General features: G+C 47.3%; 1 protein-coding gene and 1 long non-coding RNA gene across 11 annotated transcripts in view, besides 3 other annotated features; one reads left to right on the top strand and one right to left on the bottom strand.

The window, feature by feature from the left end:
- The window catches only part of ACSBG2 (acyl-CoA synthetase bubblegum family member 2), a 57,459-nt gene extending 49,162 nt beyond the window's left edge, over window positions 1-8,297 (bottom strand). For 6 of the 10 annotated variants that reach the window (NM_030924.5, XM_017027333.2, NM_001289179.2 and 3 more), the window contains exons 1-2: window positions 8,021-8,263; window positions 2,320-2,417 (exon numbers count right to left, since the gene is read on the bottom strand). In NM_030924.5, coding sequence (NP_112186.3) covers window positions 2,320-2,386 — 67 coding nt within the window. In that variant the 5' untranslated portion in view covers window positions 2,387-2,417; window positions 8,021-8,263. The other 4 variants (NM_001289180.2, NM_001289177.2, NM_001289178.2 and 1 more) reach the window with 4 other exon arrangements.
- LOC105372255 (uncharacterized) overlaps window positions 1-18,504 on the top strand; it is a 74,099-nt gene extending 55,595 nt beyond the window's left edge. Inside the window, exon 4 of the long non-coding RNA NR_187772.1 lies at window positions 15,949-18,504. This is a non-coding gene — a long non-coding RNA (uncharacterized LOC105372255). The remainder of the gene's footprint in view (window positions 1-15,948) is intronic.
- Window positions 7,493-8,395: an enhancer, noted in NCBI's record as "NANOG-H3K4me1 hESC enhancer chr19:6135546-6136448 (GRCh37/hg19 assembly coordinates)". NCBI's record gives its function as "activates a minimal SCP1, AML or CMV promoter by ChIP-STARR-seq in naive H9 embryonic stem cells {active_cell/tissue: H9 hESC(naive)}" and the evidence as "EXISTENCE:reporter gene assay evidence [ECO:0000049][PMID:30033119]".
- Window positions 8,396-9,299: an enhancer, noted in NCBI's record as "NANOG-H3K4me1 hESC enhancer chr19:6134642-6135545 (GRCh37/hg19 assembly coordinates)". NCBI's record gives its function as "activates a minimal SCP1, AML or CMV promoter by ChIP-STARR-seq in naive H9 embryonic stem cells {active_cell/tissue: H9 hESC(naive)}" and the evidence as "EXISTENCE:reporter gene assay evidence [ECO:0000049][PMID:30033119]".
- Window positions 18,098-18,392: a silencer, noted in NCBI's record as "tiled region #9390; HepG2 Repressive DNase unmatched - State 12:CtcfO, and K562 Repressive DNase unmatched - State 12:CtcfO". NCBI's record gives its function as "represses a minimal TATA promoter and a strong SV40 promoter by Sharpr-MPRA in HepG2 and K562 cells {active_cell/tissue: HepG2 | K562}" and the evidence as "EXISTENCE:reporter gene assay evidence [ECO:0000049][PMID:27701403]".
- Window positions 18,505-19,783: the final 1,279 nt, after the last annotated feature.

Raw genomic sequence — 19,783 nt, 5'->3', positions numbered from 1 at the left:
TTCCCAAACAAGGTTACATTCTGAGCACCTGGGGGTTAGGACTTCCACAAAGGAATTGGAGATGCACAATTAATCTCATAACAACTTACAACAAGGGAAGCCTAGTTCATACAGGCCCCCTTCAACCCCACTTTCCCGAGCTAATCAGCTCTGGGAGTCAGCACCAGCTCACAAAGAAACCACCTGGGGAGATGGGGGTGATGAGGAGAAGAGCATCTAGGAACTCAAAGAGCACCTTATCATGCCTTCCTGACCCCAGCCTGAAGCAGGGGGGAGTGGAGATGCTTTAAATTGGACAAAAACATGGAGGTGTCACCTGGACACTTGTGGGATATTTTAATGACTGTAGTGGGTTACATGGTGAACCTCCAAAATTCATGTCCACCCAGAATTTCAGACTGTGACCGTATTTGGAAACAGGGTTTTTGTAGGTGGATTTAGTGAAGGATCTTGAGATGACATCATGGCATCATCTTGGATTTAGGGTGATCCCTAAATCCAATGACTGGTGTTTGTTTTTGTTTTTGTTTTTGTTTTTGTTTTTTTGAGACAGAGTCTCACTCTGTTGCCCAGGCTGGAATGCAGTGGTGTGATCTTGGCTCACTGCAACCTCACTACCCACACCTTCATCTCAGTAATCTGGCCTCCAGAATTGTGAGACAATACATTTCTGCTGTTTCAGACACCCACTTTGGGGCGCTTTGTTAAAAAAAAAAAATTAGCCAGGCACGGTGGTGCATGACTGTAATGCCAGCTGTTTGGGTGGCCGAGGCATGAGAATCGCTTGAGCCTGGGAGGCAGAGGTTGCAATAAGTTGAGACTCACTATAATCCAGGCATGTGCCACCACACCTGGCTAATTTTTGTAGTTTTAAGAGAGACAGGGTTTTGTCATGTTGGCCAGGCTGGTCTTGAATTCCTGGCCTCAAGCAATCTGCCCGCCTCAGCTTCCCAAAGTGCTGAAACTACAGATGTGAACTGTGCCCGGCCAGTTTTCTAGGGATTTAGATGAATATTCCACCCTTTGGACCCATAAAGGTAGCATCCCCAAACTCCTTTGTGTGTGATGCTATCTTTCAAGCACGCCTGCACTCCCTCTCCTTGAATGTGTACTTTGCAATGCAAGTACTTTTATTTGCCATAAACCTCAGTACTTTCACTATTTTTTTTTTTTTTTTGAGACAGAGTCTCGCTCTGTCACCCAGGCTGGAGTGCAGTGGCATGATCTCGGCTCACTGCAAGCTCTACCTCCCGGGTTCACGCCATTCTCCTGCCTCAGCCTCCTGAATAGCTGGGACTATAGGCACCCGCCACCACACCTGGCTAATTTTTTGTATTTTTTAGTAGAGACGGGGTTTCACCATCTTAGTCAGGATGGTCTCGATCTCCTGACCTCGTGATCCGCCTGTCTCGGCCTCCCACAGTGCTGGGATTACGGGTGTGAGCCACCGCACCCGGCCCACTTTCACTATTTTCTGACTTGTTTCTTGAATTCACTCTCGATGGTGTCAAGAGCCTGGATAATGGCTGGGTTCGAGGTCCCACCGGCGTTTGGGGACCTCCCCCAACCCACTGGTATCAGAGCTGTCTATGATGTCACCATGTCCCTTGACTTTAGCTCTGACAGTAAAATGATTATAGCCTAATGTTAATAAATCACTATGATCATATCCGCACCCTATCTACATGGATGATTCCTGGGTACTTTATCCACTCGGGCTCACCAACCTGACAGGGAGGTGCTGTTATCAATGCCCCCATCATTCAGATATGCAAATGAGGCCTCCAAAGAGCAAGTGACTTGCCCAGTGTCACATCACCAGTAGAGCAGAGCTCTGAATTATGTGAACAACTTGCCCTGCTACCTCAACAACCTATCAAGAATAGAAAATAGGCCCTAGGCTGGGCACGGTGGCCCACACCTGTAATTCCAGCACTTTGGGAGGCCAAGGTGGGAGGATTGCTAGAGCCCAGGAGTTCAAGACCAGCCTGGGGAACATAGCGAAACCCTGTCTCTACAAAAAAAATACAGAGCTGGGCATGGTGGTGTGCACCTGTAGTCCCAGCTACTTGGAGGGCTGAGGCAGGAGGATCACTTGAGCCTGGAAGGTCAAGGCTGCAGTGAGCTATGACTGCACCACTGCACTCCAGCCTGGGTGACAGAGCAAGACCCTGTCTCAAAACAAAAGGGTGGGGGGTCGGGGTCAGCAGGGTCAGGCAAGGAATGGCTACATCTTTCTAGATCCAGACTCCTCTGCAAAGAGCCTTTGTGGAATCAATGTGCCACTCTCTCTCCCACGTACTCTTTAGTGCAATATACCTTCTGTTTTATTCATGTCTACTTCAAGATCTTTAGCTCCTTCTTGAGTCTTTGGGGTTCCAGTCATTCCAGGTGTGCAGAAACCATGCTCCACAGCACTGCAAAGCAAAAAAGCAGGGAGTTTAACAGGATTGGCAAAGGGGCTGTAGGGATGAGGCCAACTCTTCCATCCACTGGTCATGTCTGCCTAGAATCCTAGGATCCATTGGTCATGCCTGTCCTGGGCCTGGGAGGAGAGGAGAGTGGCCGGCATGCCAGATAATAGAGCATTTGTAAAACCCAGAGGGTATTCAATCTGTGAGTTTACAGAAGAGTCTCTTAAATTGTTAGAATATAAAGTCTGGGTCTATACACAATTCTGTGGGTGAGAAAATATTTTGAAGCCTCCCAGGGGAAAGAAACTCTCATGGGACCACACATTTATCTTCTCTTAAAGGTAATATTAACATGAAAACTCAAAGGGCCTAAAGGAGAAACAGGATAAGTCTTGCTACATAAAATTTTTAAATTTTCCACATGGCCAAGAATACCACAAACAAAAATCAAGAGATCAACAACAAATTGGGGAAAGATGTGGACAATACATCCAAAGTATAAAAGCTTGATTTCCCTCATATGTAAAGAACCCTGAGGAATTAATCAGAAAAAGACCAAAACCCAATGGGAAAGCGGGCAAAGGACATGAATAGATAATTATCTGAAACTGAAAAATGACTTTTAAAAAGAAGTAAACATGCTCAAACTCAGTCCTATGAGAAATACAACAGAAAATATGATGCAGTTTTCACCTTTCAGGTTAAGTAAGATCAAAAAAGCTGACAATATTGTCTATTATGAAAATGTGGGAAAACAGGTGCTCTCATTCATCGTGGTAAAAATCAATGCCACCTCTTTCGAAAACACTTATCAGTAATCAGACTTAAGATCACATGGGGTTTGGTTTGGTTTTGTCGCCTAGGCTGGAGTGCAGTGACACAATCTCGGCTCACTGCAGCCTCCACCTCCCAGGTTCAAGCAATTCTCGTGCCTCAGCCTCCGGAGTAGCAGGGATTACAGGCCACCGTACCCAGCTAATTTTTAAAAATATTCTTTTAGTAGAAACAAGGGTTCACCACATTAGCCAGGTTGGTTTCGAACTCCCAAGCTCAAGTGATCCGCCCGCCTCAGCCTCTCAAAGTGCTGGCATTACAGGCGTAAGCCATTGCGCCTGGCCGAGATCACATGGTCTTTAACCCATCAGTAGCGGACAGGATTCCGGGGCTACCCTGGGTTTTTGCATAGTCATTAATTGGACTCTACTGTTTGAGGGCTTTGGAGTGGTGTTTGTACCACCACTCCTTCAGGTTGTTTAATTCTCAGTGTGTTAATTCCTTTTTTTTTTTTTTTGAGACGGAGTCTTGCTCTGTCGCCCAGGCTGGAGTGCAGTGGCTCGATCTCGGCTCACTGCAAGCTCCACCTTCTGGGTTCACGCCATTCTCCTGCCTCAGCCTCCTGAGTAGCTGGGACCACAGGTGCCCACCACCACGCCCAGCTAATTTTTTTTGTATTTTTAGTAGAGACTGGGTTTCACCGTGTTTGCCAGGATGGTCTCGATCTCCTGACCTCGTGATCTGCCCGCCTCGGCCTCCCAAAGTACTGGGATGACAGGCGTGAGCCACCGCACCCAGCCTATGCCTGGCTAATTTTGTATTTTTAGTAGAGACAGAGTTTCTCCATGTTGGTCAGGCTGGTCTCAGACTCCCGACCTCAGGTGATCTGCCTGCCTCGGCCTCCCAAAGTGCTGGGATTACAGGTGTGAGCCACCACACCTGGCCTAAAATCACAAATTCTAAATATAAATTTATTCCAATCAAAAATGTCTCCAGATATTGTCAACTTTGTCCCCTGGGGGAAGTGGAGGCCAAATTGTTGGTCAACATTTATTGAAACTGATTTTTCTAGTGGCTTTCAGGGAGGAAAATTGTACGATTTTGTTCATGATAAAGAGCGTGCTTGACACAAGAATCAAGCAGTTGTTCTGGATTCTAGATTTGCAGTAATGTTTTATGAACTCTAAAAGTTTCCATCAGTGAGTGCAGGAACACAGCAGGTGAAAACTTGAGTAAACCCTCTGGTGAATGAAGCCCTGTAACATGCACGTGATTCTTACACCAGCAAAAACTGATTTTGTATTTCAGTGAAAACAGGTGGCTAAAAGGCCATGTTCTAAGTTGAACTTGAGGCCAGGTGCGGTGGCTCACGCCTGTAATCCCAGCACTTTGGAAGGCCGAGGCTGGCAGATCACCTAAGGTCAGGAGTTCAAGACCAGTCTGGCCAACATGGTGAAACCCTGTCTCTATTAAAAATACAAAAAAAATTAGCCAGGCATGGTGGCAGACACCTGTAGTTCCAACTACTTGGGAGGTCGAGTCAGGAGAATCCCTTGAACCTGGGAGGTGAAGGTTGTAGTGAGCCAAGATAGCACCATTGGACTCCAGCCTGGGTGACAGAGCAAAACTGTATCTCAAAAAAAAAAAAATAAGTTTAATTTTAAAAATAAGTAAAGTGAACTTGAATGAGCCTACGGAGTTTACACACACAAAGTAGATCAATCAGCAGGACAAAGCGAGCAGCCCAAAACAGCAGATCCAGACCAAGCTACAGATATGCATGAAAAACATGCACGGAGTGTGCGGCCCAAGAAGAAATGAGGAGGAAGCCCAAGGCCCCTCTGGAGCAGCTGGATCTGGCCCAGAACCTCAAAGTCATCCTTAATTCACCTTTGACTTGCTTCCTTCCCTCCCTCCTTCCTCCCTTTGCTTCTTCCCTTTCTTCCCTCCTTTCTACTTCCTTCTTCCCTCCCCTTCCTTCCTTTTTCCCATTCTCCTACCCTTCCTCTCTCCCTCCCTTCCTTCTTTCCTCCCTTCGTTCTTCCCCTCTCTTCCTTCCTCCCTCCGTCCCTGCCTTTTCTTTCTTCCTTCTTCCCTTCCCTTCCTTTCTTTCTTCCTCCCCTTCCTTCCTTCCTTCCTCCCTCTCTCTTCCCTCTTTCCTTCCCTCCCTCCCTTCTTTCCTTCCTTCCTCCCTCCCTCCCTCCCCTTCCTTCCTTTTCCTCCTTCCTCTTTCCCTCCCTCCCTCCCCCTTCCCCCTTCCCCTCTCTCTCTCCCTCTCTCTTCCTAGCACATTGACTCATTAGCTAATTCCATCAGCTCAGCCTTCAAAATGGGATCCACTCTCTCCGCCTGCCTGGACCTAAGCTTCCTCCCAGGAGCCTGAGAGGTCCTGGTCACGTGAGAGGCCCATCACCCAGGCGCATTGTGGGTTCTGCTAGATCTCAATTCAAACAAGATGTGCACGAGGCCGCCAAGAACTCCACCACTGACTGTGTCTCAGACGACATGAAGAAATGAAGAGGGGATGTTTACTTCCTTAAAGTATGATAATTGCTTTGGGGTGAAGTTAGAGAAAGGAATCCTTGTTGCCAAAGGATTCATGCATGAAAGAACACACTGTCTGGTGCTTGCTTTAAAACTACCCACGAGGAGTGGGGTGACACAGAAATGACCAAGGCTGACTTTAAGTTGGAGCCGAGTGATAGGTAGCTGGGGGCTTATGTTATGATCAGCTCTACTTTTGTGTTTGAAACTTTCCACGATAAAAGTGTTTACAAATAAAAATGAATGCCAAGCATGGTGGCTCATGCCTGTAATCCCAGTGCTTTGGGAGGCCGAGGCGGGTGGATCACCTGAGGTCAGGAGTTCGAGACCAGCCTGGCCATGGTTCACACGGTGAAACCCTGTCTCTACTAAAAACACAAAAATTAGCCAGGCACGGCGGCAGGCACCTGTAATCCCAGCTACTCAGGAGGTTGAGGTGGGAGAATTGCTTGAACCCAAGAGGCAGAGGTTGCAGTGAGCAGAGATCTCGCCCTGCACCCCAGCCTGGGAGATAAGAGTGAAACTCCATCTCAAAAATAAATAAATAAATAAATACATAAATACATAAATAAATAAATAAAAATAAAAAAGTGAAATGCTGGCCCAACCCTGTCTCTCCTCTGCCTGCAGCCCTCCATGGCTCCCACCTCCCTCCAGGTAAAAGCGCAAGTTCTCCCCACGGTCCACAAGGCCCTGCACCTCCCTGTGCTCTCCTCCTTCCTCCCTCCCCCTCCTCACTCTGCTGCAGCCACGTGGGCCTCCTCACTGTTCTTCCAACTCACCAGGTGCAGTCCTTCCTTGGGGCCTTCGTACGGGCTGTGCCCTCTGCCTGGAACTCTCTTCCCCTCAGATAGCTGGGACTACAGAAGCATGCCACTACGCCTGGCTAATTTATTTTTATTTTTATTTTTGTAGAGCTGGGGGCCTCGCTATATTGCCCAGGCCGGTCTTGAACTCCTGGCCTCAAGCAAGCCCCCCCCCCCCCCCCAACCCCGCCACCTCGGCCTCCCAAAGTGCTGGGATTTGCAGGTGTGAGCCACCACACCAGGCCCCTCTTTTCTTTATAAATTGCCCATCTTCAGGTATTACTTTATGGCAATGCAAAATGGGCAAATAAAATTAGTATCCGGAGTATGAAAAGAACTCTGGATTTAAAAGACAAATGTAAACAACCCAGTGTTTTATGATGAAAAATGTAAACAGGCAGTTCACAAAAAAGGAGCCTGGAAAGGGCTACAAATCCTGGACAAGATGCTCAGTAGCTTTGGTCATCAGGGAACTGCACGTTAAAAATCACACGATCGGCCGGGTGCGGAGGCTCACACCTGTGATCCCAGCACTTTGGGAGGCCGTGGCAGGTGGATCACTTGAGCTCAGGAGTTCTCTACAGAGGACTTGTAAGTTACTAGTAATATTCGATTTCACGAAGTGAAAAGGGCACACAGATATTTATCGTTATTCATTAAATCGTACAGATATGCTTTGTGTTATTTTATATGCATTATATGTTTCACAATTTTAAAAGGCCATGTAGGGTTCAGATGTGGTGACTCACACCTGTAATCCCAGCACTTTGGGAGGCTGAGTCGGGTGGATCGCTTGAGGCCAGGAGTTCGAGACCAGCCTGGCTGGCATGGTGAAACCCCATCTCTACTAAAAATACAAAAATTAGCTGGGCATGGTGGCGCGTGCCTATAATCCCAGCACTTTGAGAGGTCGAGGCGGGTGGATCACCTGAGGTCAGAAGTTCAAGACCAGCCTGGCTGGTATGGCGAAACCCCATCTCTACTAAAAATATAAAAATTAGGCCGAGTATGGCGGCTCACGCCTGTAATCCCAGCACTTTGGGAGGCCAAGGCGGGTGGATCACGAGGTCAGGAGATTGAGACTATCCTGGCTAATGTGGTGAAACCCCATCTCTACTAAAAAATACAAAAAATTAGCCGGGCATGGTGGCAGGCACCTGTAGTCCCAGCTACTCAGGAGGCTGAGGCAGGAGAATGGTGTGAACCTGGGAGGCGAAGCTTGCAGTGAGCCGAGATTGCGCCTGGGCAACAGAGCAAGACTCTGTCTCAAAAAAAAAAAAAAAATTAGCTGGACATGGTGGCAGGCGCCTGTAATCTCAGCTACTTGGGAGGTTGAGGTGGGAGTATCACTTGAGCCTGGGAGGCAGAGGTTGCAGTGAGCTGAGATCGTGCCACTGCACTATAGCCTGGGCAAAAGAGTGAGACCCTGTCTCAAAAAAAAAAGAAAAGAAAACGCATGCCCTTCTCCCATACCACTGGCACCTGTCACTCTTCAAGAGGTGTGGTTCTGGCCATCTGGCAAGGCACCTGGAGCTGGGACATCTGGTCACTCAGGTGTTTTCTTCTTCCTGCAAAGACAGTCAACAGGTAGCCCCTCCTGGAAACCTGAACATGAGCTGCCCCTTCCCAGCCCCCGTCACCCTCTCCGTCCAGCCAGGATGATGGTGGTGGTGGGAGGCAGGAGGATGGGTGGTTTCCCTCCACAACAGGCCTTCTACCCCATTCAACCTTCCAGAACGTTCCATCCCAGCCACCTCTTGTGACATCACTGGCTGCCCCTGCCTCCGCACCCCACCCCCACCCCTAGGGGAAGCTGCTTCCAGGACAGGGAGATTGCTCTTTTCATGCATCATTCATTTATTCATGCATGCATGCACTTCTGCGTTGCATTCGTGACGTTTTTATGAAGCCATGACCCTAATGGCAGGGATTGTGCTGGATGCTGGAGACATAAAGATGAACAAAGCCAGATGAGGCCTGTTCAAGAAAATAAGAGGAGGCCTAGAATCACACAAACAAATGCAAACTTACCATTGTGAAGAGAGCCCCAAGGCATGTTGAGGGCTTGATCAAAGGATCCCGCCCAGGCAGGGAGTCTGGGAGTGGTTTCTTTCTTTTCTTTCGTTTTTTGAGACGGGAGTCTTGCTCTGTCACCCAGGCTGGAGTGCAATGGTGCGATCTCAGTTCACTGCAACGTCTGCCTCCCAGGTTCAAGCGATTCTCCTGCCTCAGCCTCCCGAGTAGCTGGGATTACAGGCGCCCGCCACCACGCCCGGCTAATCTTTTGTATTTTTAGTACAGACGGGGTTTCGCCATGTTGGCCAGGCTGGTCTCAAACTCCTGACCTTGTGATCCGCCCGCCTTGGCCTCCCAAAGTGCTGAGATGACAGGCGTGAGCCACCGCGCCTGGCCTGGGAGTGGTTTCTTGAGCTGGGATCTGAAGTATGCCTGGATGTTATTCCTGCCCTCGTGACTTTCTCTTACGCTGCCTGTCTTCATGTGTTTACAGCGGCCTCCCCCTTCTCGTTCTCTGCTTTAGTCACTGCTAACAATGTCCACTACCAGGCACAGTGGCTTGTGCCTGGAATCCCAGCACTTTGGGAGGCCAAGTCCGTAGCATCACTTGAGGCCAGGAGTTCAAAACCAGCCTGGGCAATGTAGTAAGACCCCGTCTCTACAGAAAAATTTAAAAAATTAGCCGGGCGTGGTGGTGCGCAAGTGTAACCACAGCTAGTAGGGAGGCTGAGGTGGGGGGATTGTTTGAGCCCAGGAGTTCCAGGCTGCAGTGAGCTGTGATGGTACCATGGCACTCCAGCCAGGCCTACAGAGCAAGACCTTGTCTCAAAACAAAAAAGACAAAACAGTGCCAGGTGCAGCACATACTAGATGCTCAGTAAATAAAGATGTAGCAACAGAATCTTGTGCTGTGCCAGGAGAAAAGGACAAGGAGTGTTCCTTTGTCTCCAGGGCCTTTTGTGTGTGTGTGTGAGAGAGAGAGAGAGACGGAGTTTGGCTCTTGTTGCCCAGACTGGAGTGCAATAGCGTGATCTTGGCTCACTGCAACCTCTGCCTCCCGGGTTCAAGCGATTCTCCTGCCTCAGCCTCCCAAGTAGCTGAGGTTACAGGCATGCACCACCACTCCCGACTAATTTTCTGTATTTTTAGTAGAGATGGGTTTTCACCATGTTGGCCAGGCTGGTCTCCACCTCGTGGCCTCAGGTGATCCACCCGCCTCAACCTTCCATGGTGCTGGGATTACAGGTGTAGCCACCGCACCTGGCCACCAGGGCCTTCTTAATGTTTCACAAATATCTACTCTGCAGAGCACCTGGGCAGCTGTGCCAGGACAGCCAGTGTCCACCAATGTCCATTCAGCCCTTCTTCCCCAGAGCTCTCACCTAAAGAGAGAGAATGTTTCCCAGGCCCCCTGACTGCATGGCGTGTCCATGTGACTACATCCTGCCCTGTGGGATGTGGGCATAAGTGGTGGGGGCCATGCCTGGTCATGCCTATAAAGGAAAGGAGGTGACACCCTTCCCCAACCCCCCATCCAGTAGAATCCTGGGATCAGGAGCAGCCTCCTTGGACAGGGGTGAAGCTGGAGGGGAGGGAGCAGGTCAAGAGGTCCCCAACAGGAGGGAAGGGACCTCTGTCTCTAAAGACAGTTGAGCCACTTTGCTGGTGCCAGACAGATTTATGCAAGTTGCACACACGCTCGCTCGCTCGCTCAGACACTCTCACGTGCACAGGTACTCACACACAAACAGACCTTCCCATGGGCACACAATCACAAGCACACTCACATACACTCACACTCATAACATGCTCCCACAATCACACCTGTTCACACAATTCAAATACTTTCATACAGACACAAACTGGCAGGCACGCACACACACACATGCGCACACACAGTCACATGTACTATCAGACACATGATTACATGCATGCACACTCATCCACAGTCATGCACATATGCAGTCACACACGTGCCTCATTATAGAGACATCCCATTTCGTACACATGTACACTGTCAGACACACAATGTGTGACAGTCACACAGTCACATTGCTCAGGCCCTCATACGCACAATTACATGCACACACACATATGGACACACATGGTCACACACACCCTCATACAGACACACAATTACACACCCACACTCACACATTCACATACATATGCACACACTTGCTCACACTCTCACCCTCGTACAGACACAATTATATATATGCATTCCCACACTCACACATATATGGACATGCGTGGTCACACAGCCTCGTACGGACACACAATTACACACACTCCCACACTCCTACACTCACATACATATGTGGGCGCTGCCAGCCAACCTCCAAGACACATACATATGCACACACATGCTCACACTCTCACACACCCTCATACAGACACACAATTACACACACATATGCACGCACGTGCTCACACACACCCTCATATGGACACATGACTACATATATTCATTCCCACACACGTATATGCACACACATGGTTACACAGCCTCATACAGACACACAATTATATACGCACACCCACTCACATATGCACACACATTCTCACACTCACACACCCTCATACAGACACACAATTATATACGCAAACCCACTCACATATGCACACACATTCTCACTCACACACCCTCATACACACACAATTATATACGCACACCCATTCACATATGCACACACATTCTCACACTCACACACCCTCATACAGACACACAGTTACATACACTCACACACGTATGCACTGATAGACACCTAATTATACACATAATCATAATCTCACACACACACTCCTGTGTGCCCTCATGCAGACAAATACACACAGGCACACACACCCTCATGCAGATACAGTCACATATACAGTCACATGTCCTCACACCTGCACACACTTGCACACCCCACATCCTCACACACCCTCAGATACCCAATTACATATATACACTCGCACACACATGCACACACTTGCTCAGACTCACACACAACCTCATACACACAGTTACATACACACATACATTATGACACACATATGCACTCATATACACTCTCATACAGACACACACAGACACATACACATACTCCCAAAGATATGCACACACACCCTCATGCTGACACACGGTTGCACATACAGTCACCATACATTCACACACACATACTCGTACAGACACAGTTACATACACACACAGTATGGCACACACTTACACATATGCACTCACATACACCTTCATATAGATGCACAATCACACGTGCACTTAATTCACACAGGCACACATACACAGTTACATACAGTATGACACACACGTATACACTCACATACACCTTCATATAGACGCACAGTCACACATGTGCACATAATTACACGCATGCACATGTACACAGTTACATAGAGTATGACACACACATATGCACTCACACCTTCATAGAGACACATAATCACATACACACACACCCTCTCACCGTGGAAAAGTAAATCTCCTTGGAGAAAATCTGTCCATAGCTATCCCAGACAAGTTTCAGCAAGGATGAGGACGCTGCTGTGCTACCCAGATCTTTTCAGTGATGAAAGATGTGTGCCCCAGCCTCTAGGAATGTTGCTGGAAGCAGACCTCTGCTGTCCACCCCTTCAGGTCAGCATCTGCCAAATGGCACGTCCTCATCCAGGGTCTTGTTCCCTTCCCCGGGCCACCAACATCTGTATGGAGGCATAAAATCTCGGGCCCCTCTCCCCAAATCTCAGGACAACTCAGGGACCATCCCAGCTACAGAGCTGGGGGCAGCTGGACTTCTCATGCTCTCTCTCTCTCTCTGTGTCTCTCTGTCTCCCCCAATCCTGTTTGTTTCCCTTCCCTTCCCTTTCCCTTCCACCAGTATCCATCCCAAGGGTGGGTCCCCTCTAAACAAACCTTTTGCAAGCTCAGTTCCTCTCATCTGCTTCCTAATAAGCTCTCTGCAACAAAAGCAGTCGTTGTATGCCACTAAAATCCCTCCACTTACCTTCTCTTACCTTTATCCCACCTGCCCCAGGTAACATAATAACGTGGACTCTCATCCCCACACCCCCTCCCCTGAGGACTCTGAGCTGACCACTCTCCCAGAGTCTTGGCTGTTAGTCTTTGAGCTCGACTCCCCACTCCCTTCCACGGGTTCTTCCTACACAGACCCGAAGCTGAGCCTGTCTGGGCAGCTGAGGACACTTCCTCCACACAGAGGGATGAAGTTCATTCCAGGCCATGGCTCACATTTTAATGGAGAAAGAACTGAAGATAGAAATGGCATTGCATAAAGGCAACAGCTGCGGAAAGAGAAGCATTCATTTGGCAACATTCATCTCCTAATCCAGCAGACCCCAGGAGACTCTCTCTTCCCCCAGAGCCAAGGGCAAAGTGAACTCAAGGGTAACTCTGTAAAAGAATCCAGGTGTTTACACTGGAAATGGGGAAGGGGGGACTCAGCTGGCAGTGTGAGTCACCTGTGCGTCCTCCACTGGTGCCTCTCTGGGCAAGGGGGCGGTTGGATCCTCACTACTTGGCTGGTTCTAGGATCCTCCACTGGGGCACCTGCTTTCACCTCATGTGCCATCTTGTCTTAAGAGTCAAGAACAGTGGGAGCTCTCAGCCAACCTCCAAGACACCCAATTAACCAACTCATCCATGAACCCAAGGTCTATCCCCCACAGAGGATGCATGGTCGCTGGTTCATACGGAAACCTTGCAGGGTTGCTCTGAAATGTACATGCATCCACTTCCATACCAGGCTCGCTGTGTGCTCACTGAGTGCAAGCTGTGTATTCCCAAACCTGTTTATGCCAGTTGTGCTTCTTATTCTAACAACTATATTTTATTTTATTTTATTTTATTATTCTATTTTCTTTTCTTTTATTTTTAATTTTATTTTTTGAGACAGAGTCTCGCTCTGTTGCCCAGGCTGGAGTGCAATGGCGCCATCACGGCTCACTGCAACCTCTGCCTCCCAGGTTCAAGTGATTCTCCTGCCTCAGCCTCCCGAGTAGCTGGGATTACAGGCGCCAACCACCACACCAGGCTAATTTTTGTATGTTTAGTAGAGACGGGGTTTCACTATGTTGGCCAGGCTAGCCTCGAACTCCTGACCTCAGGTGATCCACCCACCTCGGCCTCCCAAAGTGGTGGGATTACAGGCATGAGCCACCGCGCCAGACCCTAACAACATAATTTGATCAAATATTATACGCCTCAATGTAATACAGCAGCAAAAAAAAAAAAAGTCATTGTTTCTAAGTCTCAAAAGTCCAGCTGATAAAAGAGTGATGAATTACGCATGGACGAGGTGACTTACTAACTCAGGGAAAAAATTGGAAATTGACCCTGTCCAATATAGTAGCTACAAGCCTATGTGAGTATTTAAATTAAAATTTTTATGACTATACACTTAAAAATGGTTAAGGTAGTAAGTTTAGTGTTATACGTATTTTGCCATATTAAAAATAAAAATAGAGCTGGGTGTGGTGGCTCACACCTGTCATCCCAGCACTTTGGGAGGCAGAGGTGGGAGTTCAAGTAAGGAGTTCGAGACCAGCCTGGCCAACATGGTGAAACCCCATCTTTACCAAAAATACAAAAAAATTAGTTGGGCATGGTGGCAAGTACCTGTAATCCCAACTACTCGGGAGGCTGAGGCAGGAAAATTGCTTGAACCTGGGAGGCAGAGGCTGCAGTGAGCCGAGATCGAGCCACTGCATTCCAGCCTGGGCAACAGAGCAAGACTCTGTCTCAAAAAAAAAAAAAAAAACTTAATAAAATATATTCACATATCCAATGGATTACTCATGGGAGGAATTTCAACACCCCTCTTTTGTTTACTGCTTTATTTATTTAGACAAAGTCTTGCTCTGTCACCCAGGCTAGAGTGCAATGGTACGATCTCAGCTCACTGCAACCTCCACCTCTTGGGTACAAGCAATTCTCCTGTCTCAGCTTCCCAAGTAGCTGGGGTTACAGGCATGCATCACCATGCCAAGCTAATTGTTGTATTTTTAGTAGAGACGAGGTTTCATCATGTTGGCCAGGCTGGTCTCAAACTTCTGACCTCAAGCGATCCACCTGCCCCGGCCTCCCAAAGTGCTAGGATTACAGGCGTGAGCCATTGCACCCAATCCAAAGGTTTCTCTTGGGACCAGCCTCCCTCCAACATGACTCCACAGTTCTGGTATCCTTATCATTTCTGTTTCTGGCCCCCTCTCCATCAGTAAGCAGCATTCACTGCCTGGGTGGGTGGAGGAGGTCAGAATGAATTGAACAGAAGCAGGGAAGAAAGACTGACTTGAGGCCGGGCGTGGTGGCTCGCGCCTGTTATCCCAGCACTTTGGGAGGCTGAGTTGGGTGGATCATGAGGTCAGGAGTTCAAGACCAGCCTGGCGAACATGGTGAAACCCTGTCTCTACTAAAAATGCAAAAATTAGCCGGGCGTGGTGACGTGTGCCTGTAGTCCCAGCTACTTGGGAGGCTGAGGCAGGAGAATTGCTTGAACCCAGCAGGTGGAGGTTGCAGTGAGCCGAGATCACGCCACTGCACTCCAGCCTGGGCGACAGAGCGAGAATCCATCTCAGAAAAAAAAAAAAAAAAAAAAAGCTCCAACAACATGAGATACAGAGTCAAAGCCTCATATGTAACTGTTACAAACCAAACTGGATCAATTTGCCTATATGCAAGGGAACATCAACCAGCAAAGCACTATGTTTTTGCAGTGAGAAAGGTTTAATGTGAGCCAATTGGCAAGAAAATGGGAGAAAACACTCAAATCTGTCTCTTTGAACTGGGAGTTGGGGCAGGTTTTATAGTCACAGGGTAATGAGGCATTATCTGATTGGCTCTTGCGATGGTGTGATGCCAGGGCTCGAGCTGATTGGATACTGGATCATTGCCATGTGGCGTCTGTTTCTTAATTCAATTCTGCTCCTTTGTCTGAGCACTTAGGTTCCACCTGTGGTTGACTTTTTAGCTCATCTGGACATGTTCTGATTATGTAGCTTGCAACCTGGGGTCCATGGCAACTGGAAGACAACTCACAACTTTGTTACATAAAAATTGAACTGGATTGGTCCGATATTATTACATAATGAACTCTCACCGTTGGGTGAGGTCAAATTGCTATAATAGGTATTTGTCTTTTTCTCATTCTTTTTCACAGCTGTATAGTATTCTATTTCACAGCTGGGATACTATACAGCTGTAAAAAAGAATTAGATGACATATCTATAATATATCCCTCATAGATAACATAGCTACGATATAGCCCTTTCTCATTCTTTTTCACAGCTGTATAGTATTCCAGCATGCAAGAAATTACTCAAAAACTTAGCAGCTTAAAACATTGATAATCACTCATCATCTCTCGTGGTTTTTGTAGGTCAGAAATTCAGACAGGGCACATCTGGGACAGCTTGAAGTCATGATGTGCTGGAGCTGGCATGTATCAACCGCATGAGTCAGAGCCAATTGCATGCATCTCTTCTCAGCTTCACATTCAGTGGTATCACATCTGTACCTTGAAATCAGCCACAGTGGGAGTATTTACACCACAGGAATTGGCAAACACTGCAAATCAGCGCCCCATGCCACTCAAGAGCCAGTTATTAAATATTTATCAGAACATAACTGCTTTAAAGAATTATTTAAAATTCTCAACAATATAAAGGGACATTTTATTATTAAATCCTTAGGGATGGTCCCACCAAAATCCCATATACAGTAATATTAGCAGACTCCAAATGTACTTAGATTTGCTAAAATTCTCAAATGCATTTTTTTTTTAGAGACAGAATCTCACTCCATTGCCCAGGCCCAGTGGTGTGATCATAGCTCAGTGTAGCCTTGAATTCCTGGGCTCAAGCAATCCTCCCACCTCAGCCTCCTGAGTAGCTAGAACTACAGGTGTGCACCACCATGCGGGGCTTATTATTTTATTTTTTTGTAGAGGTAGAGTTGTCCAGCCTGGTCTGGAACTCCTGGCCTCAAGTGAGCCTCCTGCCTCAGCCTCCAAAGTGTTGAGATTGCAGCCATGAACCATGACAGCCAGCCTCAAATGCTTTTCCAATAACACACAGACACAAGCCCTGAAATTTATATCATTGAGTTACTGAATACATATATGTGCCTGGATTTCCCTAGCAAAAATTGGGAAGAAAACATTTACTTTCCTTTTCCAGGCAGGGTGAGTTAAATGGTATGTCTGCAGCTGCGTTGCCAGGGGTCCGTGGCTTTTCAAAAGTGGGTGTCCCTACTGGCAAAAGTGGATACGGGGGTCTGCATGTTCCGTGGCAGCTTCCAGGAAGAATGAGAAGTGGATAAGAGTGGATGGTGCAGGTCTAGAAGCAAGAAAGGTCTGAACTAAATTGGTTGTCACTTGCTGTATAAGTGAGCCAAAGACAGTGTCTTTCTATCAGCCCTATCTCATTTATTTCTTTACAGCAGGCAGGCAGGGACCTCTCAGCTCAAAGCCCACCAGCACCAAGCTCAAATTCTCACACAATCCATTGCTATAAATATTGCACAAATAAGCATATGTTTAGTCATTTAGAGCCCACCTGCTTTGCATACCCCATAAAATTGCACCCAACAACACCTATTAATCACAGAGAAGAAAAATCTTACAGCCATAAGAAACCCCAAATTATTGTTGCCTTTCAGAGTTCTATGATGCAGACTCTCCCCACCTTGCTACTCAATGACATCACCTAGACACTTAAGCCCTGCCTCTAACTCTCCTCTGTCCCAGGAGTTCCTCTGGAAGGAGTCCTGCTGGAAGGGACATTCCCCGCATGCAAACCTATCTAAGTGCCGTGCAGTAAAGCTTGTTATGCAATACTGCCATCTTATGGTCCTGTTTTGTTTTGTTTTTTTTGAGCTGCCCCATCAGGAATCAATGATGTCATAAGTCATGGCTCCTGAAATTGCAATTTTCTTGTGTGTGTGTGTGTGTGTGTGTAAGCAAAATTAGGCCAGGCATGGTGGCTCACACCTGTAATTCCAGCATTTTGGAAGGCCAACACGGGGGGATCGCTTGAGGTCAAGAGTTTGAGGCCAGCCTGAGCAACATAGTGAGACCTCATCTCTCCTAAAAATTTGAAAATTAACGCGATGTGGTGACACGTACCTGTAGTCCCAGCTACTTGGGAGGCTGAAGCGGGAAGATTGTTTGATCCCAGGAGTTTGAGGTTGCAGTGAGCTGTGATTGCACCACTGCACTCTAGCCTGGGCAACAGAGAGAGACCCTATCTCAGTTTAAAAAATAAAATACAATAAGTTTTAACGAATTAATTTTTGTTATGTCTTGTGGTCTTTAAATGACACACATTTGACAGAATGCAGTGGACATTGACAGTACCAAGTAACACTGCTATGGCCGAGAACAGGAGTGGCCAGGTGGCATCTGAAAAGCTCTAGTTCCTTGGTGTGTCATCTACAGCCATGAGCAGCCTCATCCAAGGCTCCTGTCGGGGTGGCCAGTATGGAGTGAGGTCTGGAGGTGTGTCTTTGATCCCTACGTCTGACACTCGCTGTCCACCACGAACATCCTGTGTCACTGTGGATCCAGGTACTGGAAGATACTGAAGGAGTCCATGTTCCAGGTGCCAAGGTAAGGCCATGAAGCCAAGGTGCAGTTCTTGGAGAAGACCAGAAGGGGGCTCCTGGTAGCTGCAGCTCCAGATAAAGCCTCCAAGTCCCCATCTTCACGTGTATCAGATTCTTCTGTCAATTTGCAGCTGGTATGCTCTTTTAGCAGGGATCAAGCCAGCAACTGGATGACTCCTCCAACAATGCATGCAAATTAGAGCATCATTATCATTTGAAGTGCCTGATGGGAAAACACTCAACTGGATTCAAAAAGCCATTTACATCATTACAACAATTTTTGAAACTTATATTTGTTAATGAATAAAGAAGTTGGGGTCCTTAGACATAATTTCACCTGTTATAATTTTTTAAAGGCTTGTAGAAAATGGTTTGAAGTTTCTTACCACTTGCTTGTGCACGTGACGTTTCTTGCCAATTGTGTCTATTAAAAATTTGAGGGGCCGGGCACAGTGGCTCATGCCTGTAATCCCAACACTTTGGGAGGCCGAGGTAGGCAGATCACCCAAGGTCAGGAGTTCAAGACCAACATGGCGAACATGGTGAAACCCTGTCTCTACTAAAAATACAAAAATTAGACGGGAGTGGTGATGGATGCCTGTAATCCCAGCTACTCGGTAGGCTGAAGCAGGAGAATCACTTGAAACTGGGAGGCAGAGGTTGCAGTGAGCCAAGATCTCACCACTGCACTCCAGCCTGGAAGACAGAGCAAGACTCTGTCTCAAAAAAAATTTTTTTTAAAAAATATTAGAAGCAAACCAAATGTCTGTCAACAAAAGAATAAACCTATAAATAGTGATATATTTTTATAATGAAATACCACTCAGATTTTTTTTAAAAGAATGAACAACTGATGCATTCAACAATATGAATGAACTTCACAGATATAATATGCTAAAGAAGCCAGAAAAGGCCAGGCGCGGTGGCTGACGCCTGTAATCCCAGCACTTTGGGAGGTTGAGGCAGGTGGATCACTTGAGGTCAGGAGTTCAAGACAAGCCTTGCCAACATGGTGAAACTCCATCTCTACTAAAAATACAAAAAATTAGCTGGGCATGGTGGTGTGCACCTGTAGTCCCAGCTACTTGGGAGGCTGAGGCAGGAGAATCGCTTGAACCAGGAGATGGTGATTGCAGTGAGCCAAGATCGCGCCCCTGCACTCCAGCCTGGGTGACTTGTCTAAAAAATTAAAATAAAAGAGTAAGCAAAATACACGTGGTGGTAGAAGTCAGAAAAATGGGGTAGAGGTATTAACTGGAAAAGGACAAGAGAGAACCTTCTGGGGAGAAGGAAATGTTCCATACCTTGATCCAGGTGCTGGTGGTAAGGATTCACACACACACACACACACACACACACACACACACACACACACACACACACGTAAAAAGTCACACATATGTAAACAATTAAGAATTATGCACTTTGACATCTGTAAGTTACATCTCAATTTGTTTTTGTTTTGTTTTGTTTTGAGACAGGGTGTCACTCTGTTGTTTAGAATGGAGTGCAGTGGCACAATTGTCGTTCACTACAGCCTCAACCTCCCTCAGCTCAGGTGATCCTCCCACCTCAGCCTCCCAAAGTCTGGGATTACGGGCATGAGCCAC

This window comes from Homo sapiens, chromosome 19 (assembly GCF_000001405.40).
Source record: "Homo sapiens chromosome 19, GRCh38.p14 Primary Assembly".
Classification (NCBI taxonomy): Eukaryota; Metazoa; Chordata; class Mammalia; order Primates; family Hominidae; genus Homo; species Homo sapiens.
Note: the sequence above shows the minus strand (reverse complement) of the source record. Positions and strands in the feature narration are given on the sequence as shown.